This window comes from Homo sapiens, chromosome 3, assembly GCF_000001405.40.
Source record: "Homo sapiens chromosome 3, GRCh38.p14 Primary Assembly".
In the NCBI taxonomy this organism is placed as follows: domain Eukaryota; kingdom Metazoa; phylum Chordata; class Mammalia; order Primates; family Hominidae; genus Homo; species Homo sapiens.
In genome coordinates this window covers 44,253,997-44,274,629 of record NC_000003.12, presented here as the reverse complement: position 1 = coordinate 44,274,629, position 20,633 = coordinate 44,253,997, and the positions used below count along the sequence as shown (strand labels likewise).

At 36.3% G+C, this 20,633-nt stretch overlaps 1 protein-coding gene across 4 annotated transcripts in view; it reads right to left on the bottom strand.

Annotated features, from left to right (window-relative positions):
• Window positions 1–20,633, bottom strand: part of TOPAZ1 (testis and ovary specific TOPAZ 1) — a 94,804-nt gene that overhangs the window by 62,060 nt on the left and 12,111 nt on the right. For all 4 annotated transcript variants that reach the window (XM_011533694.3, NM_001145030.2, XM_017006361.2 and 1 more), the window contains exons 3-8: window positions 19,601–19,662; window positions 18,352–18,479; window positions 12,147–12,211; window positions 7,494–7,633; window positions 5,329–5,414; window positions 3,820–3,945 (exon numbers count right to left, since the gene is read on the bottom strand). In XM_011533694.3, the coding sequence (XP_011531996.1) occupies window positions 3,820–3,945; window positions 5,329–5,414; window positions 7,494–7,633; window positions 12,147–12,211; window positions 18,352–18,479; window positions 19,601–19,662 (607 nt within the window). The remainder of the gene's footprint in view (window positions 1–3,819; window positions 3,946–5,328; window positions 5,415–7,493; window positions 7,634–12,146; window positions 12,212–18,351; window positions 18,480–19,600; window positions 19,663–20,633) is intronic.

Genomic DNA, 20,633 nt, shown 5'->3' with positions numbered 1-20,633 from the left:
TGAGCTGAGATTGTGCCATTGCTCTCTAGCCTGGGCAACAAGAAATCCATCTCAAAAAAAAAAAAAAATTTAAGGCTTTACTTCCATTTTGTGCCTTTTCAGTGCTTAGCATTGTGCCTGGCATGTTGTAAATATTCAATAAATGGTAGTTATTATTATTATGTTTCTTTTACTTAAACTCTTTTTGGCTCTCATTTTCTTTTCTTTTCTTTTCTTTTCTTTTTTTTTTGAGAGGGAGTCTTGCTCTGTCACCCAGGCTGGAGTGCAGTGGCTCAGTCTCGCCTCACTGCAACCTCCACCTCCTGGGTTCAAGTGATACTCCTACCTCAGCCTCCCAAGTAGCTGGGCGCCCACCACCATGCCCAGCTAATTTTTGTAATTTAGTAGAGATGGGGTTTCACTTTGTAGGTCAAGCTGGTCTTGAACTCCTGACCTCAAATGATCTGCCTGCCTCACCCTCCCAAAGTGCTGGGATTACAGGCCTCAGCCACTGTGCCTTGCCAAAAAAAAAAAAAAGAGACAGGGTTTCACAATGTTGGCCAGGCTGATCTTGAACTCCTGACCTCAGGTGATCTACCCGCCTGGGCCTCCCAAAGTGCAGGGATTACAGGCATGAGCCACCGCGCTGGGCCTCTCATTTTCATCATCAAAGAAAATGGGGATTAAATCAGTTAATATACGTAAAGCACTTGAAACAGAATCTGACATATATGGTAAGTCACTCATGAATATATTTTTATTTTTTCTATGAAGCTTCTTCTGATCTTGTTTGAATTAATAATTTGCCTATCTATATTCTGCTCATATTTTACAACACATCCTTTATATTAAATAACATTGATTTGTTTGCTTGTGTGTCTCTCTGCCAAATGGGATTCTTGATAGCTGGGACCTATCTTACTTATCTTAGTGGTCTTAGTGCATAGTCTTTTCTTGCCACATATTATTGTGGCTTTGAGCTGGGTTTTAAAGGATGAAGAGGATGGTGTGATTGGAGCATGGGGGGTGGTACATCAGTGGGAAGTGAAATTTGACAAATACACTGACAAGTGATTGTAAGTTGATGAATGCCAAACTAAATAATTTGAATTTATTTTGTATACGGAAGGGAGACTTTTTTATTATTGACCAGATTAATTCCATATTTTAGGAAGATAATTCTGAATGCGGAGTAGAGAATATAGTGTAAAGAGGAAAAGAGATTGAAAACAAAAAGAAGATGTAAGAAACTCTGGCTCTTGCTATATTAGAGAGTTCTTATTTTAGCAGAGGTCTTCTAGAATATAGCCTTTTACCACCATGTAACTAACCTTTTAAGCCTTATCACAGAAAGGCTTCAGTGTGTCCCTGCTAACTTTGTTTTGACTTCTGTTAAAAGAAAAACTTCAGAAAAAATAAATTTAATAGAGTTTATTTGAGCATTAAAAGATTCACGAATGAGGAAGCACCCCAAACTAGAGAGGTTCAGAGAGCTCTGTTTCAACAGTGTGAACAGTGGGATTTCTTATAGACTGAATGTGGAAACAAAGTAGAGAAATTACTTGAATGGCTATAGCTAGGTGTTTGCCTTATCTGGGCACAATCTGGTGGTAAGTCCCTCATTAGAGGATAGTTGTTGGTTTGTTTAAGATTGAGTTTTGACAACCTATAGGTTGGGAGAAATATTTGCAAGCCATACATTTGATAAGGGGTTAGTATCTAAAATATATAAAGAATTCAAATAACTTTATAGAAAGAATACAAGTAATCCAATTTAAAAATGGGCAACGGAGGCTGCGTGCAGTGGCTCATGCCTGTCATCCCAGCACTTTGGGAGGCCGAGGCAGGCAGATTATGAGGTCAGGAGATGGGGACCATCCTGGCCAACATGGTGAAACTGTGTCTCTACTAAAAATACAAAAATTAGCCGGGCTTGGTGGCACAGGCCTGTAGTCCCAGCTACTAAGGAGGTGGAGGCAGAAGAATCGCTTGAACCAGGAGGTGGAGGCTGCAGTGAGCCAAGATCGTGCCACTGTACTCCAGCCTGGGCAACAGAGCAAGACTCTGCCTCAAAAAAAAGGGCAAGAGAGCTGAACAAACATTCCTCAAAAGAAGACATATAAATGGCAAATGTACGAAAAAAGGCTCAACATCATGAATCAGAGAAATGCAAATTATAAACCTCAGTGAGATATTACCTGACATCTGTCAGAATGGCTATTATCAAAAAGACAAACAATAACAAGTGCTGGTGAAGATGTGCAGAAAAGGGAATCTTTGTATACTGTTGGTGGCAATGTAAATTAGTATAGCCATTATAGAAAACTGTATGGTCATTCCTCAAAAAACTAAAAATAGAATTACCATATGATCCAGCAATCTCACTTCTGTGTATTTACCCAAAAGATTTGAAATCAGTATGTTGAAGAGATGTCTGCACGTCTATGTTCATTGCAGCACTATTCACAATAGCCAAGGTATGGAATCAACCTAAGTGTCCATCAATGGATGAATGGATTAAGCAAATGTGGTATATATACACAATGAAATACTATTCAGCCTTATAAAAAGAAAGAAGTTTTGTCACCATAACACAGATAGACTGGAGAACATGCTAACTGAAATAAGCCAAGTACAGAAAGACAAATGCCATATATGTTCTCATTTACATATGGAATCTAAAACTCAAAGAAGCAGAGAGTAGAACAGTAGTTACCAGAGGACAGGGGTGGAGGGTGGTTAGGGGAATGGGGAGATGATGGTCAAATAGTACAAAACCTCAATTAAACAGGAAGAAAAAGTTTTTTTTTCTTTGATATCTATTGTATGGAGTGGTGACTATGGCAAATAATAATGCACATTTCATAATTGCTAAGAGTAAATTTCAAATATTCTTGCCACAAAAAAAGATAGTATCTTAGGTGACAGATATGTTAATTAGCTTGATTTAATTATTCCATATCATATTCATAAATCAAAACATCACACTGTACCCCATAAATAAACTATAGTTTTCAATTTATAATTTAAAAATAAAAATTAAAACAAAATACAAAAGGTGAAAAGGCAACTTCTAAAGTAATAAATGATTTTATATATATAGATATACATACACACATACAACCAAGAACTTGTATACAGATTATATGATTAATTATTGTAGACTGAGAAGAAAAAGAATCCCATAGAATATAGGGAAAATATCTGTATATTTCCAAATAGAGCATATCCCATTAATGCCCAATAAACATTGAAAAGTGCTCAACTTCATCAATCATCAGGGAAGGTATCACTACCCACCCACCAGAATGGCTATATGCAAAAGGCTAATAATATCAAGAGCTGGTAAGGATGTGAAACAACCAGAATTCTCAGACATTGCTGGTAAGAGTGTAATTTGGTAAAACCCCTCTGGAAACCTATTTGGCTGTTATCTACTAGGGCTGAATATATGCAGACCCTATGACACAGCAGTTCCAGTTTTAAGTATAACCTATCAGAACGTATACATATGTTCACCAAAAGACATGGGGAACACTGACAGCATCACAATTGTAATATCCAAATCTGCTCCACCCAATATTCCATTTTGATACACTCATAAAATGGAATATTAACTATTATAGGACAATGAGAAACATCTACAATAGGTGTTTGCTCAAAAATATCGAGCAAAAGAAGACAGACTAAAGAATACACATATGATTCCATTTATATAAAGAACAAAAGCAGGCAAAACTCACATCTATGCTATTAGGAGTCAATGAAAATCTAAATTAAAATGCATGACTGAGATAGTTATTAAAACAATCTCTACTTTAAAGACTTTATATGTTTTACCTTTTCATCCCCTTGTTCAGGCACATGAGCAAACTTGCACAGTGGTCGCTCACAGCCACGTAATGTATTAAAATGAAATTTGCAATATTTATAGGGTATCATCAACCCTAGGGACTTCTGGAACACCTAGAAAATTAGAAAGATTCACTTTCTGTATTAACTGTAAAGCACTTACTATAGTTAAGCAAGACAGCATTTGAAGCAACACAAATAACATATATTCCAAAGAGTATCAAGATAACTTGTTTGCTAATTTAATAAGAAAAAATAAAACTTCAAACAATTTATATTTTCAAAAATAATTAAAAAATCATTTCAGAGTGATTTGTCTGGATTTTAAAAAATTTATCTTTGTGTAAAATATTCCATCAAGGTTATTCTCTTTTATGTCTCATTTTTTAAGACTGTTTTTTCTGGAGCAGGTACAGGTTCACAGAAAAACTAAGGAACAGAAATATCCCATGGACTCCCTGCCCCCACATACTTTACATATTTAAAAAAATGTACACATTCCTCTTCCCTTTCACGTACCTGTCTCTGCTTTTACAAAAAGTTAATTCTATTATAATATGCACTATATTTCAGATGCATTTATTAGAACCAAAATTCTCCTTAGTTTTTCTGATTAATAGAACAAGGCAAATGACAGAGTTAAAGCTTTTTACAACAAACTTTCCCCATAAACTGCTTTATATCAGCAGCTTTCTCTTTCATCACAGAAAAGTATTCAGCCTGTTTTTTCTGTTTTGGATGTTCTCCCTCTGCTGTTTTCAACCTCTTACACTATTTGTGAATATCCTCTAACTCACTACTTATTTTCTACCTCTTACCACAAACCTCCATTCAAAATCCATATAATATCTGGAACTGCTTAAAAAATGATGATAGGCTGGGCACAGTGGCTCACGCCCGTAATCCTTTGGGAGCCCAAGGAAGGAGGATCACGAGGTCAGGAGTTCGAGACCAGCCTGGCCAACATGGTGAAACCCCATCTCTACTAAAAATACAAAACTTAGCCGGGCGTGGTGGTGGGCGCCTGTAATCCCAGCTACTCAGGAGGCTGAGGCAGGAGAATCTTAAGGCTGAGGCTTGAACCCAGGAGGCAGAGGTTGCAGTGAGCCAAGATCATGCCATTGTACTCCAGCCTAGACGACAAGAGCAAGACTCCGTCTCAAAAAAAAGGATAGGGAAATACAACCAAAAGGTCCAAAGTATTGGTTTTATGAAAATTTTTTTTTTTTAAGGGGCAGTGAGCCGAGATCATGCCATTGTATTCTAGCCTGGACGACAAGAGCAAGACTCCGTCTCAAAAAAAAAAAAAAAAAAAAAAAAAAAAAAAGATGATAGGGAAATACAATCAAAAGGTCCAAAGTATTGGTTTATAAAATTATTTTTTTAAGGGGAGGATAAAAGAGGGAGTGGAGGAAAGTGAGGAAGAGGAGGGAGGAGAAGGAGGAGGAGGGGGAGGAGAAAGAGACAGATTATTATTATTTTTTAAAGTAGACTTACCCCCACATTTTTTTCCCTCTTGAATATTTCACAAGTTTCAGGATTCTGCAGCTTTAGGACAGAATGTTTTCCCAGAAATCTGAAATCTAGAAATGATTTAGAGTGGCATTACACACCAATATGTTACAACTTATTTTCTTCATAACAATGAAATAGATGATCACTACTATCTGCTTTAAAGTTTCACTTTGAAATATTCATATTCAGTTCACAGACTGTGCTGCCATGTGTGTTCCTGTGAAATATAGTACGATATACATCTTAGGTACCCTCAAGTATTTCTAGACCTGAATTTAAAATTTTAAACTCACTATAAGCTGCAGACAACTTTCTTAAAAACCTCACATAGCAGCATTGGGCACTGTATTCAAATGATATGTCTCTAAGTTAAATAGACAAATATTATACACAATAAACATTTCTAAGGGAAGAAAACTAGTGACAAATCCAGGTGCGATGGACTGAACTGTGTCCCCAAAAAATTAACATGTTGAAGCCCTAACCCTCAATATGACTATATTTGGAGATAGGGTGTTTATAGAAGTTAATCAGGTTAAATGAGGTCAAAGAGGTGGGGTCCTGAATCAATGGAATTAATGTCCTTATATGAATAGGCACCAGTCTGGTGCGGTGGCTCACACCTGTAATCTCAGCACTTTGGGAGGCCCACGTGGGCAGATTGCCTGAGGTCAGGAGTTTGAGACCATTGAGACCAGCCTGGCCAACATGGTGAAACCTCGTCTCTACTAAAAATACAAAAATTAGCCAGGCATGGTGGTGCGTGCCTGTAATCCCAGCTACTCGAGAGGCTGAGGCAGGAGAATCACTTGAACCTGGGAGGGGGAGGTTGTAGTGAGCCAAGATCACATCACTGCACTCCAGCCTGGGCTATAGAGTGAGACTCTGTCTAAAAAAAAAAAAAAAAAAAAAAAAAAGAATAGGCACCACAGAGCTTACACTCTTTCCTTGCACACACCAAGGAAAAGTTATGTGAGGACTTAGCAAGAAGGTAGCCATCTGCAAGCCAGAAAGAGAGCCCTCATCAGAAAATGAACCCTTCTAGAACCTTAGCCCTGAACTTCTAGCACTGTGCAAAATAAATTTCTGTTGTTTGAGCCCTTTAATCTGTGGCATTTTATTATGGCAGCCCAAGCAAACTAATACACCAGGCATCATATCCCTTAATGTTGGTCTTTTAAAAAGAGAACTAGGGCATTTAAAAATGTTCTTTTCTAAAGATAAAAATAACAAATAAAAATAAAAGTATTTTTAATTTTAAATCATTTATTTTTTACTTTGGCAGCATCCAGCTATAATCTGAAACAAGCTGAAGTTTTTGCTGCATAACTTCACAGTAATTTGCATTATGAAAACTGTAAGACTTTTAAGATAAAACACATGACCATCATGGGCTTGCTGTTATAGTATACAACACGAGGCAGCATGAAGTCAGTAGGTATAGTAGGGTAGATATAGAAAAGTTAGGTGTGTGCTATACAATGTGATTTTACAGATTCTAAATTCATCCTTTAATGTAGTCTATTTTGTTCAAAATATTGTTAATTATCAAAAAACTGACACAAGTTCTAAAATACATATACACACTCCATCAAAATATATTTTAGATATAACCTGTAATTTACTCGTACTACCACTATCACATAAATACAGATATTTCACACGTTGTTCCATCAAAAGTACTAAGTAGGCTGGGCGCGGTAGCTTACACCTGTAATTTCAGCACTTTGGGAGGCTGAGGTGGACAGATTACGAGGTCAGGAGTTCAAGACCAGCCTGGCCAACACCGTTAAACCCCGTCTCTACTAAAAATACAAAAAAATTAGCCGGGCATGGTGGCAGGTGCCTGTAATCCCAGCCACTCAGGAGACTGAGGCAGGAGAATCGCTTGAACCTGGGAAGGTGCAGGTTGCAGTGCACTGAGATCGTGCCACTGCACTCCAGCCTAGGCGACAGTGTGAGACTCTGTCTCAAAAAAAAAAAAAAAAAAAAAAGTACTAAGTAAAGGTGCACAAACCTTCTAATTTTAACATATTCTACATGATTCCATTTTTCTTTTTTAATCGTTTTTTGTTTTTGGTAGAAAAATCTCCTAGTTTCTATATCACCAAAAGCCAACAGGATTTCATTAAGAAAACAAATAGTACCATTCATCCAGGTATTCAGTATTGTGTCTTCTTGACGACCACTTAGATTCAAAGGAGGTACTAATAAACACAGAGGTTTCGGGACTGGTACTGCAAATTGACATTCGCCGACCATAAAGTCTGCATTTCTAGAATCTTTGCTGTGTGAAAGGAAAAATTAACATCAGAATTTAAATGTATTTTTAAACATTAAAGTAATGCTTTGCAGATATCAGATATTTCTTTTTAAAAAAATTTTTTATTTTTATTTTTTTACAAATTGAAGCACTGTGGCAACCCTGAGTCGAGCAAGTCTAATTGGTGCCATTTTTCTAACAGCACGTGCTCACTTACGTCTCTGTGTCACATTTTGGTAATTCTCACAATATTTCAAATTTTTTCATTATTATTTTATCTGTTATGGTGCTCTATGATCAGTGATCAGTGTTACTACTGATATTGTTTCAGGGCACCATGAAAACTAAGCCCCTATAAGAGGGTACACTTAATCAATGAATGATGTGTGTGTTCTGACTGCTCCACCAACTGGCTGTTCCCCCATCTCTCTCCCTCTCCTTAGGCTTCCCTATTTCCTGAGACAAAACAATATTGAAATTAGACCAGTTTATGACCCTACTATGTCCTCTAAGCAGTCAAGTGAAAGGAGGAGTATCACATCTATCACTTTAAATCAAAAGCTAGAAATGATTAAGCTTAGTGAGGAAGGCATGTTGACGGATAAGACAGGCCAAAAGGTAGGCTTCTTGTACCAAATAGTTAACCAAGCTGTCAATGCAAAGGAAAAGTTCTTCAAGGAAATTAAAAGTGTTACTCCAGTGAACATACGAATGAAAAGAAAGTGAAACAGTCTTACTGCGGAAATGGAAAAAGTTTGAGTGATCTAGATGGAAGATCAAACCAGTCACAACATTCCCTTAAGCCAAAGCCTAATACAGAGCAAGGCCCTAACTCTCTTCAATTCTGTGAGGGCTGAGAGTGATAAGAAAGCTACAGAAGTATGAAGCTAGCAAAATTGGTTCATGAGGTTTCACGAAACAAATCATCTCTGTAACATAGAAGTGCAAGGTCAAACAGGAAGTGCAAGGTCAACTTGCTAATGGAAAAGTTGCAGCAAGTTATCCAGAAGATCTAGCTAAGATAACTGATGAAGGAAGCTACAACAAACTGATTTTCAATGTAGACAAAACTGCCTTATACCGGAAGAAGATACCATCTAGGACTTTCATAGCTAGAGAAAAGTTAATGCCTGGCTACAAAGATTCAACGAATAGACTGGCTCTCTCTTGTTAAGGGATAATGTAGCTGGCAACTTTAACCATTCCAAAAATCCTAGGGCCCTTAAGAATTATGCTAAATCTATTCTTTCTGTGCCCTATAAATGAAACATCAAAGCCTGCAAGACAGCACATCTGTTTAAAGCATGGTTTACTGAATATTCTAAGCCCACTGTTGAGAGCTATTGCTCAAAAAGATTCCTTTCAAAATACCACTGCTCATTGACAATGTATCTTGTCACCCAAGAACTCTGCTGGACATGCTCAAGGAGAAGAATATTTTGGTTTTTTTCTGTGTTTGTTTTTTGAGATGGAGTCTTGCTCTGTCGCCCAGGCTGGAGTGCAGTGGTGCGATCTCAGCTCACTACAACCTCCCCCTCCTGGGTTCAAGCAATTCTCTGCCTCAGCTTCCTGAGTAGCTAGGATTACAAGTGCCCGCCACCACGCCTGGCTAATTATGGCATTTTTAGTAGAGGTGGGGTTTCACCATCTTGGCCATGCTGGTGAACTCCTGACCTTGTGATCCACCCACCTTGGCCTCCCGAAGTGCTGGGATTACAGGCGTGAGCCACCATGCCCAGTCTGAATGTTGTTTTTATGCCTGCTAACACAACATCTATTCTGCAATCTATGAATCAAGAAGTAATTTTGACTTTCAAGACTTATTATTTAAGAAATACATTTAATTAGGCTCTATCTGCCATGGATAGTGATTTCTCTGATGGATCTTGACAAAGTAAATTGAAAACCTAGGAAGAATTCACCATTCGAGGTGCCATTAAAAACATTTGTGATTTATAAGAGAAGGTCAACATATCAACGTTAGCAGTCTGGAGGAAGTTGATTCCAACCCTCATAGATGACTTTCAGGGGTTAAACACTTTAGTTGTGGAAGTCACTGCAAATGTGGAGGACATAGCAAGAAAACTAGAAGTAGAAGTGGAGCCTAAAGTTGTAACTGAATTGCTGCAATCTCATGATAAAACTTGAATGGATTAAGAGTTGCTTCTTATGGATGAGCAAAGAAAGTGGTTTCTTGAGATGAAATCTACTCCTGATGAAGAAGCCATTAACATTGTTTAAGTGACAAAGTATTCAGAATATCACACAATCTAGTTGATAAAGCAGAGGTAGAGTTTGAGAGGATTGAGTCTGATTTTGAAAGAAGTTCTACTGTTGGTAAAATGCTATCAAACAGCATCACATGCTACAGAGAAATCTTTTGTGAAAAGAAGTGTCAACTGATGCAGCAAACTTCATTGTTGTCTTATTTTAAGAAATTGCCACAGCCACCTCAACCTTCAACCTTCACCCCAATCTTCAACCACCCTATTCAGTAAGCAGCCATCAACATCCAGGCAAATATGACTCACTGAAGGCTCAGATGATGTAAAAACTTTTTGGCAATAAAGTATTTTTAAATGAAGGTGTGTACATTTTTTAAAGACATAATGCTATTGCACACTTAATAGACTAAAGTACAGTGTAAGCATAACTTTTATACGCACTAGGAAACAAAAAAATTCATATGACTCATTTTATTTGCTTTACAGCAGTAGTCTGAACTCAAACCTGCAATACCTCCAAGGTATACCTGTATATATTACAATTCTTCAGCATCTCCAATAGGTTGTTCCTGCCTTCTTAACTAGAAAACCAGCACTTCTTAAGTGGTTGGAGTAGAGGAAGGAATGGGGTGGTGTGGTTAAGATTAGAGCAAAATATTTTTGACTATGCTAAACAAAAGGTCTGAGGAGGAGTTAGGTTAGTGTTCTAATCAGAAAAGGTCATTAAATTATTCTACTGATAATGCAATTAAATGAATTATAAATTAGTCTTCAGGAAAGGTATACACAATAAGCCTATAAAGGCATTTGAGTGCTTTCTCTGGGGAAAAGGTATTAAAAATGTTATTGTTCCAGGGTGGCTGATTTAAACAGCTTTAATTGTATTCTAATATGTGAGATCCTACATAAGCAATTTTACAAAAATTTAATTTGGACACTACTTATCTAGAAAAATAATTCAAGTAAGGGGAGAGAGAGAAGTACTTCAGAGCTGATTAGTAAATACAAATGCATTTACTTTTTAGGAGAGAGGTTTACACCAACATTCAGATACTATAATCTTTACCTTAAAAATAATTCTAATAAGTTTTTCAGCTTGTGTTTTCTGCGCCAGAGGAGACTAAAAATAGGAAGAAGAGGGACCCATATTTATAAGAGTTGAAATTTAGTATCATTGGTAGAATTTAAGATTTTCACACAAAATAAAGATATTCACTTCTCTCCCCAACTTGGGATGTCACTTACTATGTATTATCAGTATGTCCTCCACAAATAAAACAAAAGCGGCAACATAAACAAAGAAATAGAAATTATGAATTTTTATAGATGGAAGAGATGATCTATTTTTTATTTTTGATCAGATGACTGAAGCCCATGGTGATGTAATGACTTAACCGATCAATGTCAACTGGTGATCGCTATGCTAGAGTCAAGTTGATAAACCTTTGCAGTCTGCAATTACACTATGTTAGTTTGTAAGCAAAATGATTTCAACAGAAAAAAAAGTTAATCTTATTGCTTTTTCTTTAGTATCTTCCTTTTTCTTTAGTATCTCCAAATGGTCATGAACCAAACTAAACCTTCTATGCCAATTTAATTCTTGCCCAGTCTTTCCCTTAACACAGTTCTCAAACTTGAGCATGCATCAAAATCAGCTGGTGGTCTTGTTAAAAACAGATTGATAGGCCCATCCCCAAAGTTTGATTCAGAGATCTGAGATGGGACTCAATAATTTCAATTTCTGACAAGTTCCTACATGATGATGCTTCTCCAAGGATCACACTTTGAAAATTACTGCCTTAACATTAAAAGCCTCAAATGCATCCATCACCTGTCCTGGGTGAGCCTTGCCTCACATGCAAAATGAGGGTGGTGGAGGATGGATCAGATGGTCTTTAAGGTGTCCTCCAATTCCAAATGTGGTGGTTTTATATGTTCCAGTGGGTGTGCTATAACTCTTAGTATGAATCGCTGCAACTATGTAAGATCCTTGCAAACTGCAATGTGAATCTGATTTCAGCCACTCATATCTTCATAAAAGTCAAACATACATCATTTTTTCTTTTTATCACTACTCCTTATCTTTCCTCAAAAAATATTTTAATGGCTCAAAAAACTTAGTGACAGCTTTAAGGTAATTTACAATACCCCTTACACCTGAGTACATCTGACACATTAATTAAATTATACCTATATATGGCTTATGGCATATAGCCCAAGCATATAAACAGCAGAGAATAAAAAACATACTCAAGATATAAATTAGATGAGTGACTATTTTAAGTTATGTAATTAAGAATTATGTTACAGACCTTTTGCAAACTTCATAAATATTTTCTTTTTCTTCTTTGGTAATCACTTTGTCTGTAAATCTATGCTGTGAAGAGATTATGGTTAAATAAGTACAAGTGAAGGTCTCTGTATTACATACTAAGCTATGAGGCTTACTGGATTTATTATAATGTATTAGATGTTAATTAAATAACTAGTTTATGGCCAATCCCTAAAAACAATTCTACTCTACATAATTTAAAATACTGAATACTGACTTTAAAATTTCCACTGCTGCTTAAGAGAAAAATTAATATAAGTCAAAATATTTGTCCAGGTTTTGATATCCCCTTTAATTACCCAAGTTGCTATTTCAAATTATTAGGTAAAACTAAAGTTGAGTTTCTTTTTATTCAGAAAAAAGCTTGAGCTTTGAGTTATTTTAAAGTGGTATTTATGAACATAAAATTTGTATTTCATAAGAAATATTTAAATGTGTTTTAAATATAACTATACTTACATTTCACAAGTAGCTGTTTTGAAATCATGATTTTTCAGTCATAAGAAGGTTATACATGTTCAAATATTAAACTTTTGAAAAAACAGGCATCCACTAAAAGAATAAAATACCTAGGAATACAGCTAACCAGGGAAGTGAAAGATCTCTATAATGAGAATTACAAAACACTGCTCAAAGAAAGCACAGACGACATCAACTAATGGAAAAACATTCCATGATCATGGATAGGAGAGAGCAATATCATTAAAATGGCCATACTGCCCAGAGTAATTTATGGATTCAATGTTATTCCTATTAAACTACCAATGACATTGTTCACAGAACTAGAAAAAACTATTTTAAAATTCATATGAAACTCAAAAAGAGTGCGAATAGACAAGGCAATCCTAAGCAAAAAGAACAAAGCTGGAGGCATCATGTTACTGACTTCAAACTACGCTACAGGGCTATAGTAACCAAAACTGCATGGTACTTGTACAAAAACAGATACACGGACCAATAGAACAGAATAGACAGCCCAGGAATAAGGCTGCACACCTACAACCATCTGATCTTCAACAAAGCTGACAAAAACAAGCAATGGGGAAAGGACCTCTATTCAATAAATGGTGCTGGGTAACTGGCTAGCCATATGCAGAAGACTGAAACTGGATCCTTCTTTTCCCATATGCAAAAATCAACTTGAGATGGTTAAAAACTTAAATGTAAAACCCAAAACTATAAAAGCCTTGGAAGACAACCTAGAACTCTTAGAAAACTACAAAAATCAACTGAGAAACATAAAACATAACAAACCGAGGACCTACCATGTTCCTGGATGAGAATACTAGAGTTAAAGATGCTAATTCTCCCCAAATTAATTTATACATTAAAAAAACTACAATGTGAGTTTAAAGCACTCTTTAAAAAAATACAAGAGAGAGAACCACCAAAACATATTTTACCATTTAATATTTTACTTACTATTTTTCAAAAAATTGACAGTATGCTATTGGTGTAAGGACTAGCAATCAATGAAACAAAAAAAAAGAAACAGATCTACACATAAAACTTTGAAAATATTAAATATGGCACTTGAAATTTAGGAGGAAATGATTCAATAAATGGTAGAACAACTGGCTAGTTAATTGGATGGAAAATAAGTGTGCTCCTAACTCACCATATGCCAAAATACCTTTTAGGTTTATTAAATATTTCATTAAATTAAAAATAAATTCTAAAAGTAGCAAAAGAAAATAAAATAGCAAAACAAATCAAATATATAAATGAGTATATAATTTGGAGGGTTGGGAAAGCCTAAGCGTGACACCAAAGGCAGAAACCATGAAGTAAGATATCAATGGTTTGACTATAAATATTTTAAATATTTTCATATGTTAAGAGAATAAAGAGTACAAAATGCCATCTGCTAAAATAAGGAAAAGTTACATTGTTTCTATATTCCTTCCCCTAAGATAAATTTTACATAATAAGTAACACCAAAAAACCCTAAAAGAAAATATGGGAGAAAATTTTAAATGTTGAGATGGGGAAGGGTTTCTCTAAATGTGACTTGTAACTCCTATTATAAAAGAAAACTGACATATTTGATTAAATAAAAATAAAAGGCTTTTACAAGATGAAAAGCTCCTAAACGAAGTCAAAACAAATGAAATCCAGGAAAAGGTATAGCCACATATGACAAGAATAGATATGTTTATTTCATGAAAAGTTCCTACAAGTAAAAAAGATCAAATCCAGAAGAAAATGGGCAAATGGGCATGTATTAGTCCGTTTTCATGCTACTATAAAGAACTGCCCAAGACTGGGTAATTTATAAGGAAAGAGGTTTAATTGACTCGCAGTTCAGCACGGCTGGGGAGGCCTCAGGAAACTTACACAAGGTGAAGGGGAAGCAAGGCCCCTTCTTCACAAGGTGGCAGGAAGGAGAATGAATGCAGGAGGAACTACCAAACGCTAATAAAACCATCAGATTTCATGAGAACTCACTATCATAAAACAATATGGGGGAACTGCCCCAATGATTCAATTACCTCTACCTGGTCTCTCCCTTGACATGCAGGGATTGTGGGGATTATGTGGATTCAAGGTGAGATTTTGGGTGGGACCACGGCCAAACCATATCAGGACATACACAGCAAGTTCATAGAAAACAATATAAATGGCTTCTAAAGATGTTTAACTAGACTCATAAGAGAAATGCATATTAAAACTAAAATAAAGTCATTTATAAAAATAAGCAGATGGACAAAAAATTAATAATGAATTAGTGTGTGGGGAGAAAATGGCATTCTCACACAATATTGTTGAAAGTATAAATCAAAGCAATCTCTATGAAGGACAATTTGACAACTCCACTTCTAGGAATTAATCCAAAAATGCTTGCACATATGCAAAATGCCTTATGCTCAAGGATGCATAATGCAGCAATATTTAAATAGCAAAAAAATGGAAACAAACCAAGTGTCCATCAATAGTGGGACTTGTTAGATTATATTCATATAGTAGGTAATTATACAACTATAAAAACAAGACATCATTACATACATTGAAAGGAAAAACATCTTAAGCAAGGTAAAGAACAGTACGCTACCATCTGGATGAAATTCAAAAGAATTCACAATGGGTGTACTTTGAGAAATGGCAGAGAATCTCCTATTGGGGTAACTCTTCTGCAGATAACAACCATAAACCCTGGATAAAATATTTTTAAACTACCTGAAAAGCCTGGAGAGATATGAAAAGCAGGCAGAACCTAGAGGGAAGTCTACACTCAAAAAGATGGAATGCCACTGGGTAAATGTCTTGCTTTTATGGCTGTATACCCAAGGGCAGGCCCTAGTTGGAACCACTTGGGGAGGACAACAATTTGCCCTACTAACAACCAGAAGAACAGAGTTTGGGGTAAAATCAGAAACTGGAAAGTGAGGCTAGGAATATGGGAGAAAGCCTAACAGATAAATCCCCCAAATCTACTTATAACTTGGCCCAAATCTCTAGCTGATCTCTGAACTATATGTATGTAACGTGGATTCCAAAGAGCCCAGCTAAGACTCAAAGAACTGAACAAACATTTCAACTGACTCCAGCCGCAGGAGAGTAATCTGGAGGATGAGTTCACCCAAGTCAAAACCTAACATGCGACTACTATATAGCTCAGCAGTTAACAGCCCATTTATCCCAGAGAAATTAAAACACATAGATACACAAAAACCTGTACATGAACGTTTATAGATAGCAGCTTTATCCTGTAAGAGTCCCAAACTGGAAACAATCTAGATATCCATCAATGAGCAAATAGCTAAACAAACTATGGTACACTTATACCATGGAGTATTACCAAACAGTAAAAATGAATGAACTACCGATATATGCAATGACTTGGTTGAATATCCACAGGATTATCCAGGTGGAAAAAAAAAAAGAAACCAATCTGAAGAGGTTACATACTGTATGATTCCATTTATATAATACTCTTGAAATGACTGAATTATAGAAATGCAGAACAGATATGTGGTTGTCCAGGGTTAAGGAATGGGCGATGGAGGAAAGAGAGAAGAAAGTAGGTGTGCACTATCAAAGGGCAACATGAGGGATCCACGTGGTGACGGAAATGTTCTGTAATATCTTGATCGTATTAATGCCAATATTCTGGTTGTGATATTGTACTATGGTTTTGCAATATATTACAACTGGGAGAAACTAGGTAAAGGGTAGATAGATATCTATGCATTATTTCTTATAACTGCACGTGAATCCACAATTTATCTCAACTAAAAGTGGGATGCTGCTGAAACAGTATTTATGGATACATTTATAGCACTAAATGCCTCTATTAGAAAATAATAATGGTTTCAAATCAATGACCTCGGCTGCAACTTTAGGAAGCTACAAAAAGAACAACAAATTAATCCAAACTAAGTAGAAGGAGGAAATAACCAAAGCAGAAATCAGTGAAACTGAAAACAAAAAAGCAACATAGGAAAAAAAATCAGTAAAACTAAAGCTGTTTTTTTTTAGAATTATCAATTAATAATCCTCTAGCCAACCTCTTATGAATCTTCATTTTAAAATGCCAAAACTATAGAAATTATTGGGGGAGGGAAACAGGTATGACTGTTAAGAGGTAGCATAAGGGATATCTTTGTGGTGATGGAATAGCTCTTTGACTGCAGTGGTGGTCACATAAATCTGCATATTTGATAAAATACACTGAACTACACAAACTTATTTTATCAATATCAAATTCCTGCTTCTTATACTTTAAGATGTAATTATAGGGGAAAACTAGGTAAAGGCAACATGGGTCTTCTCTGTACTACCTTTGTAACTTCCTGTGAATCTCTATTTCAAAATAAGAAGTTAAAAAAAAGTACACTAGTACTTTATCAGGAGCCCAACAGTAGAATCATCAAGTAATTACTACCATGGTAAACCTAAAAATTGACAAGTGATACACAGGAGAAAAGAAAAGGCCTCTGGAAAAGAATCATTCACACACACACACACACACACACACACACACACACACACACTATATATATATATAAAATAGATACACACACATTTTATATATATATAAAATATATAAAATAGACACACACACACACACACACACACACACACACACACACACACACACACACACACACCCCTATGTTTTCTTTTTTGAGACAGGTCTTGCTTTGTTGCCCAGGCTGGAGTGCAGTGGCCCGAACATGGCTCACTGCAGACTTGACCTCCCAGGCTCAAGTTATCCTCCCACCTCCACCCCGCCAAGTAGCTGGGACTACAGGTGGATGCCAGCACGCCTTGCTAATTAAAAAAAAATTTTTTTTTGTAGAGACAAGGTCTCACTATGTTGCTCAAGCTGGTCTCAAATTCCTGGCCTCAAGTAGTCCTCCCACCTCAGCCTCCCAAAGTCCTGAGATAACAGGCCTGAGTCACTGCACCCGGCATATTGATCTTTTATTTCCCACTATACATGTATGTACTTGTACATACATACATACTTGTACATACATACACATATAGTGGAAGTAAAAGATCAATAAGGAAGCATTTCTAAAAATTTACAGCCAGCCATATATAAAAGCAGAAAAGAAGGCCAGGCATATGTCCCGTAAGTCAATCTACTTAGCCTCTAATGTTCCTAAAATGTAAGGTAAGAGAGAGACGAAAACAAGTTTGTTAATTCCCAAATTTGGGGGCCAGATATCTTAAGAGCAAATATTACTGACTAATTTTGTAAAGGGTTAGTACTTTGAAGCCTACCATGGTATTAGAAGGATAAATATATAATCCCCCTTCCCTCAAACAAAACAAAGAAATCATCCCATACTAGGAAGCATGGCCCTCAGGTACTATGCTACCTGAAAATTAAGGAAGATCAAACGATTTTCAGTACTTAGTGTTTTCTGAGGCAGAAAAATATGTAATATTTTATTTAGAAAGACTTTCATAGGTTTGTGACAAACTTCAGATACTAAAAAGCTAACTACAGTATGTAATTAAACAGTACATCCCATTTTCCCAGGCAAGGAAGATCTTTTTTATACTATGCTTACACCAAGTATCAAGGGATACATCCCATGGCTAGAGTGACGTGATTCTTTTATTCAATAAAGGGAGTTACACTTGCCACCCGATAGCACTGTTAAGATGGATTTATGCATTACCACTATTTAAGACCAAGAAATAAAAAAACACAAAAGATCCCCTAGTACCTTTTCATCCAAGTCTGAACCTTTTATTTGTTCACTGAAGTCTCCCAGTGTTTCATTTTCAGAGGTCTCATTAGCAACTTCTCCTAAGGAAGTGTTTACATCTTTGGGATCACGTTTTATTTCACTTTCTGAAAAGAAATAATATTCAACTATAGAAACTTTAAAGACAAAATAACTGAGTTATTCAAAGGCTGTTCTAAAAAATGACTCAGAATTCAGAGGCTCTTTTAAGGTCTAATGTGACAAATATGAAGCAGAGTTTTCAGCGAATTATACAATAATTCCTCTCTATCAAAATAACTCCATTATATTATATAAAAAGAAACAGATATTTAAGAATTTTTCTTGATCATCTCAAGAATTTTAAATTTTAAATGCACTTATTTTAAATATACTTATAAAATATACTTTTAAATATACTTATAAAATAAAATGTATTTTAAATATACTTATAAAACTTGAAAGTCAAAGTAAAATTAACTTTCATACTAAGTTATGCCCTATGAAATAAAGATTCAGGTATTTAAACTTTTGACTAGCTGTTAACCATATATATATGTGTGTGTGTGTGTGTGTGTGTGTGTGTGTGTGTGTGTGTGTGTGTGTGTATATATATTTTTTTTTTTTGAGACAGAGTCTCGCACTGTTGCCCAGGCTGGAGTGCAGTGGCGTGATCTTGGCTCACTGCAAGCTCCGCCTCCCGGGTTCACACCATTCTCCTGCCTCAGCCTCCCAAGTAGCTGGGACTACAGGTGCCTGCCACCACGCCCGGCTAATTTTTTGTACTTTTAGTAGAGATGGGGTTTCACCATGTTGGCCAGGATGGTCTCGATCTCCTGACCTCGTGATCCACCTGCCGCGGACTCCCAAAGTGCTGGGATTACAGGCATGAGCCACCGCCCCTAGCCAACTATAAAATTTTTTTAAGCAACTGAGATTTAAAATGTGATAAAGCTTAAATACATATTTCATTTTCAAAATAAGATGACAAAAACTGCTGAGGTCAATTACCTATCTTTTGTAGATAAAGCCTAACAAAGTTATTTATTAAATAATCAAACAGAAAATATCTCAATCTGATCTTCCAACCAGTCAATTAAAACAGGAAAATTGACAAACTATAAAACATATGGTCAACAGACCCTAAAATGAAAAGCTTCTTGTTCTAGTGAATTCATCTTGACTAGGCCTGAATGGAGATATAAAGAGATGCTTCAATATTGCATATTCTGAAAATGTCAACTTTTACCTGCTGAGTTGGAAGCACAGATGTCTGGCTTTATCCATCCACAGTCCAGTACAGGAAGTTCTCTATTATAAAGCAAACAGAGCTTAAACATTATAATAGATTCTAAGCAGAACTATCCACTTCTCTAAACATTAATAATAGTCACTTTAGCTGCTGGTGAACATCAGCTCAAGTCCTCCAGGGCAGAGTACTTACTATAATGAGACACAGAACCCAGTGCACCTGAGTGGATTTTTTGTTTGGTTCTTTAATCACATATGCCTCAACTGTTAGGGGGTGCTGCCACTCAAACTTTGTTACTGAGAGCTTGACAAGATATACAAAGCATGTAAAATTCAAAAAAGTATTACACCAATACGAGATAGTGTTTAACTTCTACTCTTTTTTTTTTTTTTTTTTTTTGAGACGGAGTTTCGCTCTTGTTGCCCAGGCTGGAGTGCAATGGCGCGATCTTGGCTCACTGCAACCTCTGCCTCATGAGTTCAAGTGATTCTACTGCCTCAGCCTCCTGAGTAGCTGGGATTACAGGCATGCACCACGACGCCCAGCTAATTTTGTATTTTTAGTAGAGACGGGGTTTTGCCATGTTGGTCAGGCTGGTCTCAAACTCCTGACCTCAGGTGATCCATTGGCCTTGGACTCCCAAAGTGCCGGGATTACAGGCGTGAGTCACTGTGCCTGGCCAACTTCTACTGTTAAGCATGTATATGTATGTCATACGGTCAATGTCAAAGGAAGACAGCTTGAAAGCAGCTCAATTTTTTTTGGTAGTCCCTAAAGACAACTTACAGTCTAAAGATTAAGAATATGTAGAACAGAGTTAGACCAGTCTGGGTTCAAACACTGTTCTGCTACTTGCTGTGTAAACTGTGGCAAAACTACTTAACTTCTTTAAGTTTAACCATATCTGTAAAATGAGAATACCACCTAACCACAAGGTATTGTGAGGATTAAATGAGATAAGATGTCCTTAAAGCCAACAGCATAGGCCCAACAGATGAAAACTACATTTATAGGAGCCACTCAAATACAA